Source organism: Homo sapiens, chromosome 19, assembly GCF_000001405.40.
Source record: "Homo sapiens chromosome 19, GRCh38.p14 Primary Assembly".
Taxonomy (NCBI): Eukaryota; Metazoa; Chordata; class Mammalia; order Primates; family Hominidae; genus Homo; species Homo sapiens.
This window is the reverse complement of record NC_000019.10, coordinates 10503959-10519580: the sequence shown is the minus strand read 5'-3', so window position 1 is coordinate 10519580 and position 15622 is coordinate 10503959. Positions and strand designations below refer to the sequence as shown.

Below are 15622 nucleotides of genomic sequence, written 5' to 3'. Positions count from 1 at the left end.
GCCACCTGGCCCCCAAGTTCAAAAGTCTTGAAGTGTGTGTGGAACTCGGAGGAGCCCGGGAGGCAGAAGCAGAGTGGAGCAGAGAGAGGCACAGAAGTAACAGAAAGAGACAAATCAGGACGGCATATGGCCTTGTCCTTGCGGGGTCCTCACTGAGGACTTGATCACTTACTCTGAGAAACACAGGGAGCCACGGGAGGGTTTGGAGCAGAAAAGAAATGTGATCTGAGTTTTAAGAACTGTGGCCAGGAGTGTGGAGTGGCAGCTAGGGATGGGACTCCCAACATCTGTCGAGATCCTGGAGCCTGAGTCCCCAGGGTCCCAATTCGTGGGAAAGAAGTTCAGGGAGGCAGCTGGAGAGGCAGGTTGCTGAGCCCGGGACCCGCAGCCGGAAGAGCCCCATTTTCGAGAGAAGTGAGATTGGCGCCTGGGAGGTGTGAAGCAGCCACCTCCCCACCCTGGGGCGCGGCTTCCCCTTTACAGAAGGAGGTCATTTATTGAGCACCTACTGGGTGCCAGCCACAGCCATGCTGGGAGATCTTCAGGGGTCATCCCAGTGGGCACCATTGGAGTTGGCTTGGTCCACAGGACTGGGGAACCTGGCACTGAAGGGTTAACACCGTCCCACCCTGCGGGTCCCATTGGCTGTGTCTTTGAGCAGAGCAGGCAGGAAAGGTTCTGCCCACCGAGGGAACAGCGGGGGCAGGAGGGCTGGGATCCCCAAGGGGCTACATGGGGGCCTGACCCGGCCTGAGTGCCCCCTGAGTTTCCTCCCACGAGGGTATCCCGGATCCACACTTATTCTCAGCCTCTGGCTCATCTCTCCTGGGGCGCCCTCACCCCACCCGCGGCCAGCAGGGCCTGAAGCATCAGGGGCAAAGGGCACGGTCCTGGAGAAGGTCGCAGCAGCGGGACCCAGCCTCCCTTCCTGAATCTGAGGGTGGAAGAGCTGGGACCGTCTGGAAGTTCCTGGGAAGTCGGGGTGGGGGCGTTTCGGGGCCAGCGGGACTGGTCGTTGGAGGAGCAGTGGCCTGGGAGAGGCGTGGGAGAGCATCACAGACAGCAACAAAGAGACACGCAGAGGCAAAGAGACACGCAGAGACAAAGAGACACGCAGGCGAGAGACTCTGAGATCCTCCTGAGAGAGATACAGAGGAAGTGAGGGAGACACTCATTCATTATCTGGGCATGGTTGCAAGCGACTGGAGTCCCAGCAGCTACGTTCAGCCGGCTGAGATGGGAGGATGGCTTGAGCCGCGGAGGTCGAGACTGCAGTGACTTATGATGTTGCCACTGCACTCCACTCTGGGCCACAGAGCAAGATCTTGTCTCAAAAAAAAAAAAAAAAAAGAAATTCTTACATTGCTGGGGTTTACTGTCTGCTAAGGACACAGCCCAGAAACACCATTAATGAGTAAATCACTTTGTCGTCAGCGATAAGGGTGGGAGAGAATCGGTCGGGGGAACACGGAATCCAGGGGGTGGGACAGGAGAGACCCTCCTTATCTGAGGAGCGGCAAGTTCCCATCACAATCCTGCCCGGGCCCGCCCCACCCCCACTCGCCCTGAGCCGGGGGCGGGAGCGGGAAATTGGGAGGGGCCTGTGCCCGGGAGCAGCGGGAACCTATCTGCTGGTGGGAGAGGACTCAGGCTAAGGTGGCCCCCACTGAAGACTCCTGCTAAGCAACCCACTGAAGACCCCTCCGAATCATCGACGGGGCGTCCTTGGGGTGCAGCCCAGGAAGCTCAGTTCACAGGTGGGTGGGCAATGGGAGGGCGCAGTGCCCGGACACCCAGGACAGAGGAGACCCCTCCGCTGGGGAGAAGAGGCTCAGGCTGCGACCGCCCTGCTGCAGAACCCTCCCTTTCCCGCCTCTCCGAGTCCTCCCACCGCGATGGAGCGTCCCTGGGAGGACAGCCCAGGCCCGGAGGGGGCAGCTGAGGGCTCGCCTGTGCCAGTCGCCGCCGGGGCGCGCTCCGGTGCCGCGGCGAGTGGCACAGGCTGGCAGCCATGGGCTGAGTGCCCGGGACCCAAGGGGAGGGGGCAACTGCTGGCGACCGCCGGCCCTTTGCGTCGCTGGCCCGCCCCCTCGCCTGCCAGCTCCAGCCCCGCCCCCGGAGCGGCGTCCGCTCACTCGGTTCAAGGCAGCGCGACTGCGGGTGGCGCACGACCAGGGCGCAGAGTGAGTGGACTGCACTGGACCTTTGGGGGCGCTGGGCTGGGCCTGACCCGGAGGGGGTCGCCCTGGCGGCCACTTTCCCGGTCTAAAAAGGCGCACCACTCCTTGCAGGGAGTTCTCCGAACTTTTCCTGGAGGCCTCTGGGGAGGGGGAAGCTGGGGGCTCCCCAGCTGGGTGCAGGACCTGGGATACGGGGTGAAGGTGGCTGGAATCCCCTGGCCACCCCCTCCTGGCCGGGCCACTGCAAGTTTCCATACTTCAGTCCTGCTGCCGGGCAAGCTGGGCGGATGGGGTTGGCCTCCCCCTCAGAGCATGTGTAACCCTGTCTCCCTGTATTTGGGCTCCCCACCTCCAGCATGGGTGAGCCAGCGACTTCCTGTCTATGTTTGCCTGCCTTGATTCTCTGTGTGTGACTGAAGCTCTCTGGGATGTCCGCATCCCTGCCTTGTGCAAAAGAGATCCATTCCCCTCCCCAGGCCTTGGCTTTCTCATCTGGACTTGCATGGGGACTATTTGTGCATGGATGTTTGTGTGGGAGCATGGAAACCTTTGCGCCTGCTTCGATACGAAGCATTTCTTTTGAGCTTCAGTTTTCTCATCTGTAAATTAGGACTAAAGGAAGTGGGGATTAATAAGGTCACAGAGGCAGGTGAGGAGTGTTATTACAGTTTAATGACATGTGTGCCCCTCTGTAAGAGTCTGTTTGCCTCTTGTGGATTCTCTCTCCTGTCCTCAGGCTCTGCCTTAGTAAAATGAGTGAATAGGATCAACTTTTTTTTTTTTTTTTTTTTTTGAGACGGAGTTTCTCTCTTGTCACCCAGGCTGGAGAGCAGGGGTGCGATCATGGCTCACTGCAGCCTCGGCCTCCCAGGCTCAAGTGATCCTCCCGCCTCAGTCTCTTGAGTAGCTGGGACTATAGGGGCATAACACCACACCTGGCTAATTTTTAAATTTTTTTGTAGAGATGAAGTCTTAGTATGTTGCCCAAGCTGGTGTCGAACTCCTGGGCTCAAGTGATACTCCCACCTCGGCCTCCCAAAGTGCTGGGATTACAGGCGAAAGCCACTGTGCCTGGCCAAGGAGCAACTTTCTCATGGGGTTTTGGGTGGATGAGGGGGTTTTGGCAGGAAAAAGCTTTGTATGCAGTGAGACAAGAGTGTGGAGTGTGGTGCACTGGGCCCCAGGCTAGTGTGAGTGGAGGTTGTGAAATTGTGGCCTGTGCCACTGGGTGGGAGACCCTGTATTCGTGTGACTGAATTTTGGTCGCTGTGTTTTTCTGCCTGCGTCACTCTGTTCCTGTATGATGTATTTTTTAGTTTCCCTGATAGTGTGTGACTGTGTGTTTTGCCCTTGTAGTGTGTCGCTGTATTTGTGTGTCTCTTTCTGTGTGTGTTGCGTTTGTGTGCGTTCTGTGTGTTTACTGTTACGTCTCTGGAACTCCCTGCTTGTGTGTTTGTGTGTGTGTGTTTGAGACAAAGTCTTGCTCTGTTGTCCTGGCTGGAGTACAGTGGCACAATCAATGCTCACTGACTGCAGCCTTGACCCCGCGGGCTCAAGTGATCCTCTCACCTCAGCTGGGACTCCACTGAGTAGCTTGGACTATAGGCATACACCAACACGTCCCGGCTAATTTTTGTAGAAACGGGGTTCTCCTATGTTGTCCAGGCTAATCTCGAACTCCTGGGCCTCAAACAATCCTCCCGCCTCAGCCTCCCAAAGTGCTGGAATTACAGGAGTGAGCCACCACACCCAGCCGTGTGTGTGTTTGGTGGGGAGGGGGGGTGTTTTGAGACAGAGTCTCGCTCTGCCACCTAGGTTGGAGTGCAGTGATGCGATCTCGGCTCACTGCAACCTCCGCCTCCTGGGTTCAAATGATTCTTCTGCCTCAGCCTCTGGAGTAGCTGGGACTACAGGCACGTGCCACCATGCCTGGCTAATTTTTTGTGTTTTTAGCAGAGACGGAGGGGTTCACCGTGTTAGCCAGGATGGTCTCGATCTCCTGACCTCGTGATCTGCCCCCCTTGGCCTCCCAGGCCTGAGCCACTGCCTCAGGCCTGAGCCTGGGGGGATTACAGGCGGGGATTACAGGCCTGAGCCACCGCGCCCAGCCATGTGTGAACCACCGCGCCCAGCCATTCATGTGTTATTAATGTCCCTTTTTTTGGGACTATGTCACCTTGTTCCCTCGTGATATTATTTGTGTGTATGTCTGTCTCCACGGACTCTATCCCTCCATCCTGAACTCCCCCTTGGACACCATGTATAGGGGGTGATGGTCAGTGGGTAGGGCCCCTTTCCCACGACTTAGCCGGCTGCTGCGAGCGTGCTTACGGGGACCGCGGCCTGACACCGTATCTTGCCTCTCCAACAGCCTTGGGGCGCGCGGCCCATGGAGTCGGGGCTGCTGCGGCCGGCGCCGGTGAGCGAGGTCATCGTCCTGCATTACAACTACACCGGCAAGCTCCGCGGTGCGCGCTACCAGCCGGGTGCCGGCCTGCGCGCCGACGCCGTGGTGTGCCTGGCGGTGTGCGCCTTCATCGTGCTAGAGAATCTAGCCGTGTTGTTGGTGCTCGGACGCCACCCGCGCTTCCACGCTCCCATGTTCCTGCTCCTGGGCAGCCTCACGTTGTCGGATCTGCTGGCAGGCGCCGCCTACGCCGCCAACATCCTACTGTCGGGGCCGCTCACGCTGAAACTGTCCCCCGCGCTCTGGTTCGCACGGGAGGGAGGCGTCTTCGTGGCACTCACTGCGTCCGTGCTGAGCCTCCTGGCCATCGCGCTGGAGCGCAGCCTCACCATGGCGCGCAGGGGGCCCGCGCCCGTCTCCAGTCGGGGGCGCACGCTGGCGATGGCAGCCGCGGCCTGGGGCGTGTCGCTGCTCCTCGGGCTCCTGCCAGCGCTGGGCTGGAATTGCCTGGGTCGCCTGGACGCTTGCTCCACTGTCTTGCCGCTCTACGCCAAGGCCTACGTGCTCTTCTGCGTGCTCGCCTTCGTGGGCATCCTGGCCGCTATCTGTGCACTCTACGCGCGCATCTACTGCCAGGTACGCGCCAACGCGCGGCGCCTGCCGGCACGGCCCGGGACTGCGGGGACCACCTCGACCCGGGCGCGTCGCAAGCCGCGCTCGCTGGCCTTGCTGCGCACGCTCAGCGTGGTGCTCCTGGCCTTTGTGGCATGTTGGGGCCCCCTCTTCCTGCTGCTGTTGCTCGACGTGGCGTGCCCGGCGCGCACCTGTCCTGTACTCCTGCAGGCCGATCCCTTCCTGGGACTGGCCATGGCCAACTCACTTCTGAACCCCATCATCTACACGCTCACCAACCGCGACCTGCGCCACGCGCTCCTGCGCCTGGTCTGCTGCGGACGCCACTCCTGCGGCAGAGACCCGAGTGGCTCCCAGCAGTCGGCGAGCGCGGCTGAGGCTTCCGGGGGCCTGCGCCGCTGCCTGCCCCCGGGCCTTGATGGGAGCTTCAGCGGCTCGGAGCGCTCATCGCCCCAGCGCGACGGGCTGGACACCAGCGGCTCCACAGGCAGCCCCGGTGCACCCACAGCCGCCCGGACTCTGGTATCAGAACCGGCTGCAGACTGACACCCTCGGCCCACGACTGTCTTCCCAAGTTTTACAGACTTGTTCTTTTTACATAAAGGAATTTGTAGGAAATGCAGCCAAAGGTGCAGTCGGAAAAGATGCAGGGGAAATGTATTTATGCAGCGACACCCCACAATGTGAACAAACAGACAAAAAATCTGTGCCCTCGTGGAATTGACGTTCTGCTTGGGAACACAGAAAAGAACTCGGTGATGAAATAATGGAGATGATTCCAGTGACAAACGACAGAGATGGTGATGGTGGTCAGGGAAGACCTCTCTGCAGAGGTAGTGACTTGTGATGTGAGCTGAGACCTCTGTCCTGGGAAGACCAAAAGAAAAGCATTTCAGGATGAGGGAATGGCATGCGCAAAGGCCCTGAGGCTGAAATGTGCCCATGTGTTCTAAGAAATGCAGCGATGCTGGTGTGCCTGGAGCAGGGACGGAGGGGGAGAATGGGAGGAGACAAGGAGCTGAAGGAGTAGTTCCCGAAGGACCTTGTGGGTGATATAGAGGACTTCGCTTTTGCTCTGAGTGAGGTGGGAGCCATAGAAGCTTCTAAGCAGAAGAGGGACTTGCCCTAATTCAGGTGATCACAGGTGTCTTGTGGCCTCCATGGGAGGTTGAAAACCAGAGAAGGTGAAGGGGGGCTGCACTGAGCCACAGGAACAATGATGGAGATTCCAGCTAAGCCCAGACCCCGTGGATTCTAGATAGATTTTAGAGGCAGCAGACAGAATTACTGAGGAATTGAGTGTAAGAGTGGAATAAAGTTATCAAGGACAATGCCAAGGGTGGGGCACCCCCAAATTTGACTCTGGGAGACTCAGCCAAATCCTATCTGGTAATAAAATTTCTTTTTTATTTTTCTTTTCTTTCTTTCTTTCTTTTTTTTTTTTTTGAGTTGGGATCTTGTGCTCTGTCACCCAGGCTGGAGTGCAATGGGCACAATTATAGCTCACTGCAGCCTGGAACTCCTGGGATCAAGCCTGGAGTTCCTGCTTCAGCCTCCCTAGTAGCTGGGACTACAGGCATGCACCACCATGCCCAGTTAATAAAATTTCTTCAAATGCAGTTTCAGATCCTTCATTAAAAGAAATAATAATAATAGGCTGGGTGCCGTGACTCATGCCTCTAACCCCAGCACTTTGGGAGGCAGAGGTGGGCAGATCACCTGATGTCAGGAGTTTGAGACCAGTTTGGCCAACATGGTGAAACCCCATCTCTACTAAAAATACCAAAATTAGCCAAGTGTGATGGCTTACGCATATAGTTCCAGCTACTCGGGAGGCTGAGGCAGGAGAATCCCTTGAAACTGGGAGGCGGAGGTTGCAAAGAGCTGCACTCCAGCCTGGGTAACAAAGTGAGACTCGGTCTAAAAAAAAAAAAAAAAAAAAAAGGATAACAAAATAAGGCCAGACACAGTGGCTCATGCCTGTAATCCCAACACTTTGGGAGGCTGAGGCAGAAGGATCGATTGAGGCTGGGAGTTTGAGACCAGCCTGGTCAACATAGTGAGACCCCATCTCTACAAAAAATTTTAAAAATTAGGCAGTTGTGGTTACGCATGCCTATAGTCACAGCTACTGGGGAGGCTGAAGAAGGAGGATTTCCAGAACCCAGGAGCTCAGGGGCTGCAGTGAGCTATTTTTGCATAACTGAACTCCAGCCTGTGTGATGAAATCATGTCTTTTAGGAAAACATAAGAGGTTTTTTGGTTTCTCTTTTTTTTTTTTTTTTGAGATGGAGGCTCACTCTATCACCCAGGCTGGAGTGCAGTGGCGCAATCTCGGCTCACTGTAAGCTCCACCTCCCAGGTTCACGCCATTCTCCTGCCTCAGCTTCCCAAGTAGCTGGGACTACAGGTGCCCGCCACCAAGCATGGCTAATTTTTTTGTATTTTTAGTAGAGATGGGGTTTCACAGTGTTAGCCAGGATGGTCTTGATCTCCTGACCTTGTGATCCGCCCACCTCGGCCTCCCAAAGTGCTGGGATAACAGGTGTGAGCCACTGCGCCTGGCCTTTTTTTTTTTTTTGAGATGAAGTCTCACTCCGTCACCAGGCTGGAGTGCAGTGCTGCAATCTTGGCTCACTACAACCTCCGCCTCCTGGGTTCAGGCGATTCTCCTGCCTCAGCCTCCCGAGTAGCTGGGATTACAGGCACCGCCACCACACCTGGCTAGTTTTTGTATTTTTAGTAGAGATGGGGTTTCACATATTGATCAGGCTGGTCTTAAACTCCTGACCTCGTGATCTGCCCGCCTCAGCCTCCCAAAGTGCTGGGATTACAGGTAGAGCCACTGTGCCCGGCCGTTTTTTGGTTTCTTTTTGAGATAGGATCTTGCTCTGTCGCCCAGCCTGGAGTACACTGGCATAATCCCAGCTCACTGCAGCCTCAAGTGATCCTCCTGAACTCCTGTGCTCAAGTGATCCTCTTGCCTCAGCCCCCAACCCGAGTAGCTGGGGCTACTGGAGCACCACACCAAACATGTTTTGAATTTTTTTTTAGAGATGATTTCTCACCACGTTGCCCAGGCTGGTCTCAAACTCCTGGGCTCAAGCAACCCACCTTGGCCTCCCAAAGTGCTGGGATAAAGGCCAGGCACGGTGACTCACACCTGTAATCCCAGCACTTTGGGAAGCCGAGGCAGGCGGATCTCTAGAGGTCAGGAGCTCGAGACCAGCCTGGCCAACATGGTGAAACTCCGCCTCTAATAAAAATACAAAAAAAAAAAAAAAAATTAGCCGGGCATGGTGCCGCGCGCCTGTAGTCCGAGCTACTCGGGAGGCTGAGGAGGGAGAATCACTTGAACCCAGGAGGCTGGAGGTTGCAGTAAGTTGAGATCGCGCCACTGCACTCCAGCCTGGGCGACCGAGCAAGACTCCATCTCAGAAAACAAAATAACAATAACAACAACAACAACAACAACGAAGTGCTGGGATACAGGTGTGAGCCTCCACACCCGGCCTAAAGTAAGAGTTCATTTTGTCTGGCTAGTTTTCTGCACAGTTCTGGGACACACCTATTTTTCAGCCTTATAGCAACTTTGCAAGGTAGGTTTCCTAATCCCCATTAGACAGATGAGGAAATTCCAGACAGTGACTACCTTGTCTCAGTGTCTGAGCCAGGACATTAGCTTAAGCTTCAGGCCCCAGGAGGCACTGGCTTGGTATCTGACCCCTCCAGATGGGTCTGGCAAGGCTATGCCAACAGTCCCTCCCACGGGGGTCTGCATTCATGGTTGGAACGATGCCAGGGCGCCGTTTGTGCCCATAAAAGGCTCCAGACGTGCTGGCCCCTGCCCCCGGCATGTCCCCAGGCGCATTCTTGACCCCTGAACGGCTGGATGGGCCCTGGGGCCGGGTTGGGGGGCGTCTGGCTTCGGGTTCAGACTGCAGCGCTCCACCTTCCGGGAAACCTTGGAACTGCAGGCAACCTCAAAAAAAGCGGTGTTTTGGGGACAGGTGTCCCAGACTGGGGGGACCCCAAGTCCCTGCTGGCCACGTTCAGAGTGCCCCTGGAGGCCACACACACGGGAAACCAACCAGTTGGAACACAGGCACACTTGCTTATGAGTTTTCTAGAAAATTTAAAAAGCATCCAGTTCAGCCAGGCGCAGTGGACTCATACCTGTAATCCCAGCACTTTGGGAGGCCGAGGCGGGCGGATCACCTGAGGTCAGGAGTTTGAGACCAGTCTGGCCATCATGGGGAAACCCCGTCTCTACTTAAAATACAAAATTAGCCGGGCATGGTGGCGTGCACCCGTAATCCCAGCTACTTGGGAGGCCAAGGCAGGAGAATCACGTGAACCCAAGAGGCAGAGGTTGCAGTGAGCCGAGCTCATGCCATTGCTCTTCAGCCTCGGCAAAAAGAATGAAACTCCATCTCAAGAAAAAAAAAAAAGCACGCAGTTCCCCTTCCTTGTGGCGATCACAGTGGGACTCCTGGGGACCTTCCAGAGCTAGTCTGTGGATTCACCTTGCCAAAATGAAATGTAAATACACCTCCTGTCTTTTTGTACAAATTTATCACTGTTCTGCATGTTGCTTTGTTGACTTAACAGTATATCTTGGCAGGGCATGTTGGCTCACGCCTGTAATCCTAGCATTTTGGGAGGCTGAGGCAGAAGGATCATTTGAGCCCAGTAGTTGGAGATAGGCCCACACAACATAGGGAGACCCAGTTTCTAGAAATGATTCAAAAATCACCCAGGTGGGCCGGGCATGGTGGCTCATGCCTGTAATCCCAGCACTTTGGGAGGCCAAGGCGGGAGGATTACTTGAGGCCAGGAGTTAGATACAAGCCTAGCCAACATGGTGAAACCCCGTCTCTACTAAAAATGCAAAAAATAGCCAGGCGTTGTGGCAGGTTCCTGTAATCCCAGCTACTCAGGAGGCTGAGGCATGAGAATTGCTTGAACCCAGGAAGTAGAGGTTGCAGGGAGCCGAGATCATGCCACTGCACTCCAATCTGAGTAACAGAGTGAGACACTATCTAAAAAAAAAAAAAAAATCACCCGGGCACAGTGGCACATGCCTATGGTCCCAGACACTGGGGAGGCTGGAGTGGGAGGATCGCCTGAGCCTGGGAGGTCAAGGCTGCAGTGAGCTATGATTGTACAATTGCACTCCAGCCTGGGTGATACAGCAAGACCTGTCTAAAAAATTTTTTTGAAAAGTATATCTTGCAAAAATATTGCACACCCACACATTTTCTTGTTTGTTTGGTTTTTGAGATAGGGTCTTGCTGTGTTGCCCAGGCTGGAGTGCATTTGACACAATTATGGCCCACTGCAGCCTCCACCTCTCAGGCTCAAGCAATACTACTCCTGCCTCAGCCTCCCGTGTAGTAGCTGGGACCAAATATCCCCACACCACACCTGGCTCACAACCACAGAGCTCAAAACCACAACACAGCTCACAACCACACACAGCTAATTTTTTTTTTTTTGAGGCTGGTCTCAAACTCCTGAGCTCAAGTGATTCACCTGCCTCGGCCTCCCAAGTGCTGGGATTACAGACATGAGCCACAGCGCCTGGCAATACCCACACATTTTGTAATGTCTTGCTCTTAGTCAGCTTGGACTGCATAACAAATACCCTAGATGGGGTGGCTTAAGTCCCAGTAATTACTTTTGCATCGTTCTGGAGGGTAGGAAGTCCAATATCAGAATGGCAGCCTGGGGCCGGACACTGTGGCTCACGCCTGTAATCCCAGCACTTTGGGAGGCCCAGGCAGGCGGATCACCTGAGATCAGGAGTTCGAGAACAGCCTGGCCAACACGGTGAAACAGCTGTCTCTACCAAAAATACAAAAAAAAAATTAGCTAGGCGTGGTGGCAGGTGCCTGTAATCCCAGCTACTGGGGAGGCTAAGGCAGGAGAACTGCTTGAACTCAGAAGGTGGAGGTTGCAGTGAGCTGAGATCGCGACATTGCACTTCAGCCTGGATTACAGAGCGAGACTCTGTCTCGGAAAAAAAAAAAAAAAAAAAAAAAAAAAAAGGCCAGGAGCAGTGGCTCGCGCCTGTAATCTCAGCACTGAGGCCGAAGCAGGTGGATCACGAGGTCAGGAATCTGAGACCAGCATGGCCAACATGGTGAAACCCCGTTGCTACTAAAGATACAAAAAATTACCTGGGTGTGGCGGCATGCGCATGTAATCCCAGCTACTCCGGAGGCTGGGGCAGAAGAATCGCTTGAACCCAGGAGTCAGGGGTTGCAGTGAGCGGAGATCACTCCACTGCACTCCAGCCTGGGCGACAGGGCGAGACATGGTCTCAAAAAAAGAGAATGTCAGCATGGTTGTGTTCTAGTGAGGACTCTCTTCTGAGCTTGCAGACAGCCGCTTTCTCACTGTGTTCCCACATGTTGGGGAAAGAAACAGAGAGCAGGTCGGGCGAGGTAGCTCATGACTATAATCCCAACACTTTGGGAGACTGAGGCAGGTGGATCAACTGAGGCCAGGAGTTCAAGATCAGCCTGGCCAACATGGTGAAACCCCATCTCTACTAAAAATACAAAAATCAGCTGGGTGTGGTGGCACACATCTGTAACTCCAGCTACTCAGGAGGCTGAGGCAGGAGAATTGCTTGAACCTGTAAGGCGGAGGTTGTAGTGAGTGGAGATGGCACCACTGCATTCCAGCCTGTCTCAAAAAAAAAAAAAAAAAAAAAAAAGAAAAGAAAAAAGAAAGAGAGAACACTTTCTGGTGTGCTCTTCCTATAAAGACACTAATCCCATCATGAGGTTCCCACCTTCATGACCTCATCTAGACCTAATCGCTTCCCAAAGGCCCCATCTCCAAATACCATTCCATTGAGGGTTAGGGCTGCAACACACGAAAAGGGGGTACGGGTGCATAATTTGGTCCATAGCACTTCTTTTTTTGAGATGCAGTTTTGCTCTTGTTGCACAGGCTGGAGTGCAGTGGCACGATCTCAGCTCACCACAACCTCCACCTCCGGGGTTCAAGTGATTCTCCTGCCTCAGCCTCCTGAGTAGCTGGGATTACAGGTATGCGCCACTACACCTGGCTTATTTTGTATTTTTAGTAGAGACGAGGTTTCACTGTGTTGGTCAGGCTGGTCTCGAACACCTGACCTCAGGTGATCTGCCCGCCTCGGCCCCCCAAAGTGCTGGGATGACAGGCGTAAGCCACTGGGCCTGGCTCTTTTTTTACATTAAAAAAATAGAGGCCTGGTCAGGTACAGTGACTTATGCCTGTAATCTCAGCACTTTGCAGGGCTGAAGCAGGAGGATCACTTGAGCCCAGGAGTTTGAGACCAACCTGGGCAACATAGTGAGACACCATCTCTACAAAAAAGAAATAACTTAGCCAAGTGTGGTGGCATACACCTGTGGTCCCAGCTACTTGGGAGGCTGAGGCAGGAGGATGGCTTGAGCCAGGAGTTCGAGGCTGCAGTGAGCCATGATTGCACTGCTGCACGCCATCCTGGGTGACAGCAAGACCCTGTTAAAAAAAAAAAAAAAAAAAAAGAGGTGGGGCGTGGTGGCTTACACCTGTAATCCCAGAACTCTGGGAGACCAAGTAGGGAGGATCCGTCGAGCCCAGGAGTTCGAGATCAGCCTGGGCAACATGGTGAAGCCCCAGCTCTACAAAAGAAAGAAAAAAAGGGTGGGGGGAAGTTAGCTGGGTGTGGTAGTGAGTGACTGTAGTCCCAGCTACTTGGGAGGCTGGGGCAGCAGGATCACTTGATCTCAGGAGGTCAAGGCTGAAGTGAGCTATGATTGTGCCACCGCACTCCAGCCTGGGTGACAGAGCAAGACCTTGTCTCAAAAAAAGAAAAATAAATAAATAAAATAAAAAAAGAGTCTGGGTGCAGTGGCTCACGTCGGTAATCCCAGCACTTTGGGAAGACGAGGCGGGAGGATCACGAGGTCAGGAGTTCAAGACCAGCCTGACCAACATGATGAAACGCTGTCTGTACTAAAAATACAAAAAATTAGCTGGGTATGGTGGCAGGCACCTGTAATCCTAGCTACTTGGGAGGCTGAGGTAGAAGAATCGCTTGAACCCGGGATGCAGAGGTTGCAGCAAGCCAAGATCACACCACTGCACACCAACCCGGGTGACAGTGCGAGACTCCGTCTCAAAAATAAATAAATAAATAAATAAATAAATAAATGAAAATCGAAAAAGAAAAAGAGAAAAGAAAAAATAGAAGATCTAGGTACATATCCATACAGTAAATGTACTGCTCCTTTTAACTGGCTGCATAGTATTTCTTAGCAAGGATGTGCCACCACTGATTAAGCCAGGGCTCTACAGAGGGACATGTGAATGGGATCCAGTCCTTTTGCCATGATATGCATTATAATGCAATGAATGTGTGCACATGCTTCCTCCTGTATGTGTGCGAGTGCACCTTGGATAAATCTCTACAAGCACCTGGCTCACTGGACCTGTAGGTTTGATTTTGAGAGATATTAGAGAGGTTGTTTTCTGCAACGTGCCAGGAAGGCGCTGGTTACAACCTCGGCCACTCAGCGTGTTCACGGACTATCTAGGCCGCCCCCCTGAGGAGCTGTCTGGAACTGCATCTACACGCAACAAGGATTTGGGGTAGCGGGGTAACTCCAACGTAGCCCTACACGTGATTCCTTCCAGACCCTGAGCCAGGACGTTCAATCTTTCAAATTCACCCTGGAGGCTCCAGGGGCCTAGAGTTTCCATTTATTATTCACTTACATGGCGAAATCCCATCTATCTTTTTTTTTTTTCTTTTCCTTTCGAGACGTAGTCTCGCGCTGTTGCTCAGGCTGGAGTGCAATGGCAGGATTTCGGCTCACTGCAACCTTCACTTACCCACCACCACACCCGGTTAATTTTTTGTATTTAGTAGAGACGGCGGTCTCACCATATTGGTCAGGCCGGTCTCGAACTCCTAACCTCAGGTGATCCACCCGTCTTGGCCTACCAAAGTGCTAGGATTACAAGCATGAGCCACTGCGCCTGGCCTCTCTATCTTTTAAAAATAATTATAATTTGGATGAAATTTAGATGAATTCTTTTTTTTTCTTTTTTTTTTTTTTTTTTTGAGACAGAGTCTCACTCTGTTGCACAGGCTGGAGTGTGGTGGCGCGATCTCTGCTCACTGCAACCTCTGCCTCCCGGGTTCAAGCAATTCTCTGCCTCAGCCTCCCGAGTAGCTGGGGATTACAGGCGCCCGCCACCACGCCCGGTTAATTTTTGTATTTTTAGTAGAGATGGGGGTTTCACCATGTTGGCCAGGCTGGTCTTGAACTCCTGATCTCGTGATCCACCCACCTCGGCTCCCAAAGTGCTGGGATTACAGATGTGAGCCACCGCACCCAGCCTAGATGAATTCTTTAAAATAAACTTACATACATTTATTTAAAAGTTAACGTTACATGATAAACGGTGTGCATGACAAATCAGTATCCCCAGTCATGAAAAATAGCAATGGTTTCTGTCTCTTGGGAGCCAGCATTCGCATTTAATATTTTTATTTTTTATTTACTTATTTATTTTTTTGAGTCAGAGCCTCGCTCTGTGGCGCAGGCTGGAGTGCAGTGCGGTGATCTTGGCTCACTGCACGCTCCGCCTCCCGGGTTCACGCCATTCTCCTGCCTCAGCCTCCTGTGTACCTGGGACTACAGGCGCCCGCCACCACGCCCGGCTAATTTTTTGTATTTTTAGTAGAGACGGGGTTTTATCATGTTAGCCAGGATGGTCTCGATCTCCCGACCTCGTGATCCGCCTGCCTCGGCCTCCCAAAATGCTGGGATTACAGGTGTGAGTCACCGCGCCCGGCCCCGCATTTAGTCTTAATGATAATCTGGTAGGTAGGTGCTATTATATTATTACTTTTTATAGAGAGGAAACTGAACCATAGAGAACTAAGTAAGCGCCCACGGGCACTGAGCTGGTAAGAGGCAGATCCAGGGTTTGAACCCCCCAAAGACGGGTGCCACACGCCTCTTGATAGGAAGTAAATCAAAAATAAAGACAAGGAAGGCCGGGCGCGGTGGCTCACGCCTGTAATCCCAACACTTTGGGAGGCCGAGGCGGGCGGATCATGAGGTCAGGGGTTTGAGACCATCCTGGCCAACATGGTGAAACCCCATCTGTACTAAAAATACAAAAAATTAGCTGGGTATGATGGCGGGCGCCTGTAATCCCAGCTACTCGGGAGGCTGAGGCAGAATTTTTTGAACCCGGGAGGCGGAGGTTGCAGTGAGCCAAGATCGAGCTACTGCACTCCAGCCCAGGTGACAGTGAGAGACTCTGTCTCAATTAAAAAAAAAAAAAAAAAAAAAAGACAAGGAAAACCTGAGGCCTGGGCACAGCGCCTCACACCTATAATCCCAGA

At 53.6% G+C, this 15622-nt stretch overlaps 1 protein-coding gene across 2 annotated transcripts, besides 3 other annotated features; it reads left to right on the top strand.

Annotated features, from left to right (window-relative positions):
* Positions 227-789: an enhancer, noted in NCBI's record as "H3K27ac-H3K4me1 hESC enhancer chr19:10629468-10630030 (GRCh37/hg19 assembly coordinates)". NCBI's record gives its function as "activates a minimal SCP1, AML or CMV promoter by ChIP-STARR-seq in naive H9 embryonic stem cells {active_cell/tissue: H9 hESC(naive)}" and the evidence as "EXISTENCE:reporter gene assay evidence [ECO:0000049][PMID:30033119]".
* Positions 1616-6839, top strand: S1PR5 (sphingosine-1-phosphate receptor 5). Of its 2 annotated transcripts, none has more exons than NM_001166215.2 (2): positions 1616-1757; positions 4552-6839. In NM_001166215.2, exon 2 carries the CDS (start codon positions 4570-4572, stop codon positions 5764-5766), a length of 1197 nt encoding a protein of 398 aa, NP_001159687.1. In that variant the 5' UTR covers positions 1616-1757; positions 4552-4569; the 3' UTR covers positions 5767-6839. The 2 variants fall into 2 exon arrangements, with proteins under 2 accessions (NP_001159687.1, NP_110387.1); NM_030760.5 differs by lacking the exon at positions 1616-1757 and adding an exon at positions 2134-2183.
* Positions 3657-4250: an enhancer, noted in NCBI's record as "H3K4me1 hESC enhancer chr19:10626007-10626600 (GRCh37/hg19 assembly coordinates)". NCBI's record gives its function as "activates a minimal SCP1, AML or CMV promoter by ChIP-STARR-seq in primed H9 embryonic stem cells {active_cell/tissue: H9 hESC(primed)}" and the evidence as "EXISTENCE:reporter gene assay evidence [ECO:0000049][PMID:30033119]".
* Positions 4251-4844: an enhancer, noted in NCBI's record as "H3K4me1 hESC enhancer chr19:10625413-10626006 (GRCh37/hg19 assembly coordinates)". NCBI's record gives its function as "activates a minimal SCP1, AML or CMV promoter by ChIP-STARR-seq in naive H9 embryonic stem cells {active_cell/tissue: H9 hESC(naive)}" and the evidence as "EXISTENCE:reporter gene assay evidence [ECO:0000049][PMID:30033119]".
* Positions 6840-15622: the final 8783 nt, after the last annotated feature.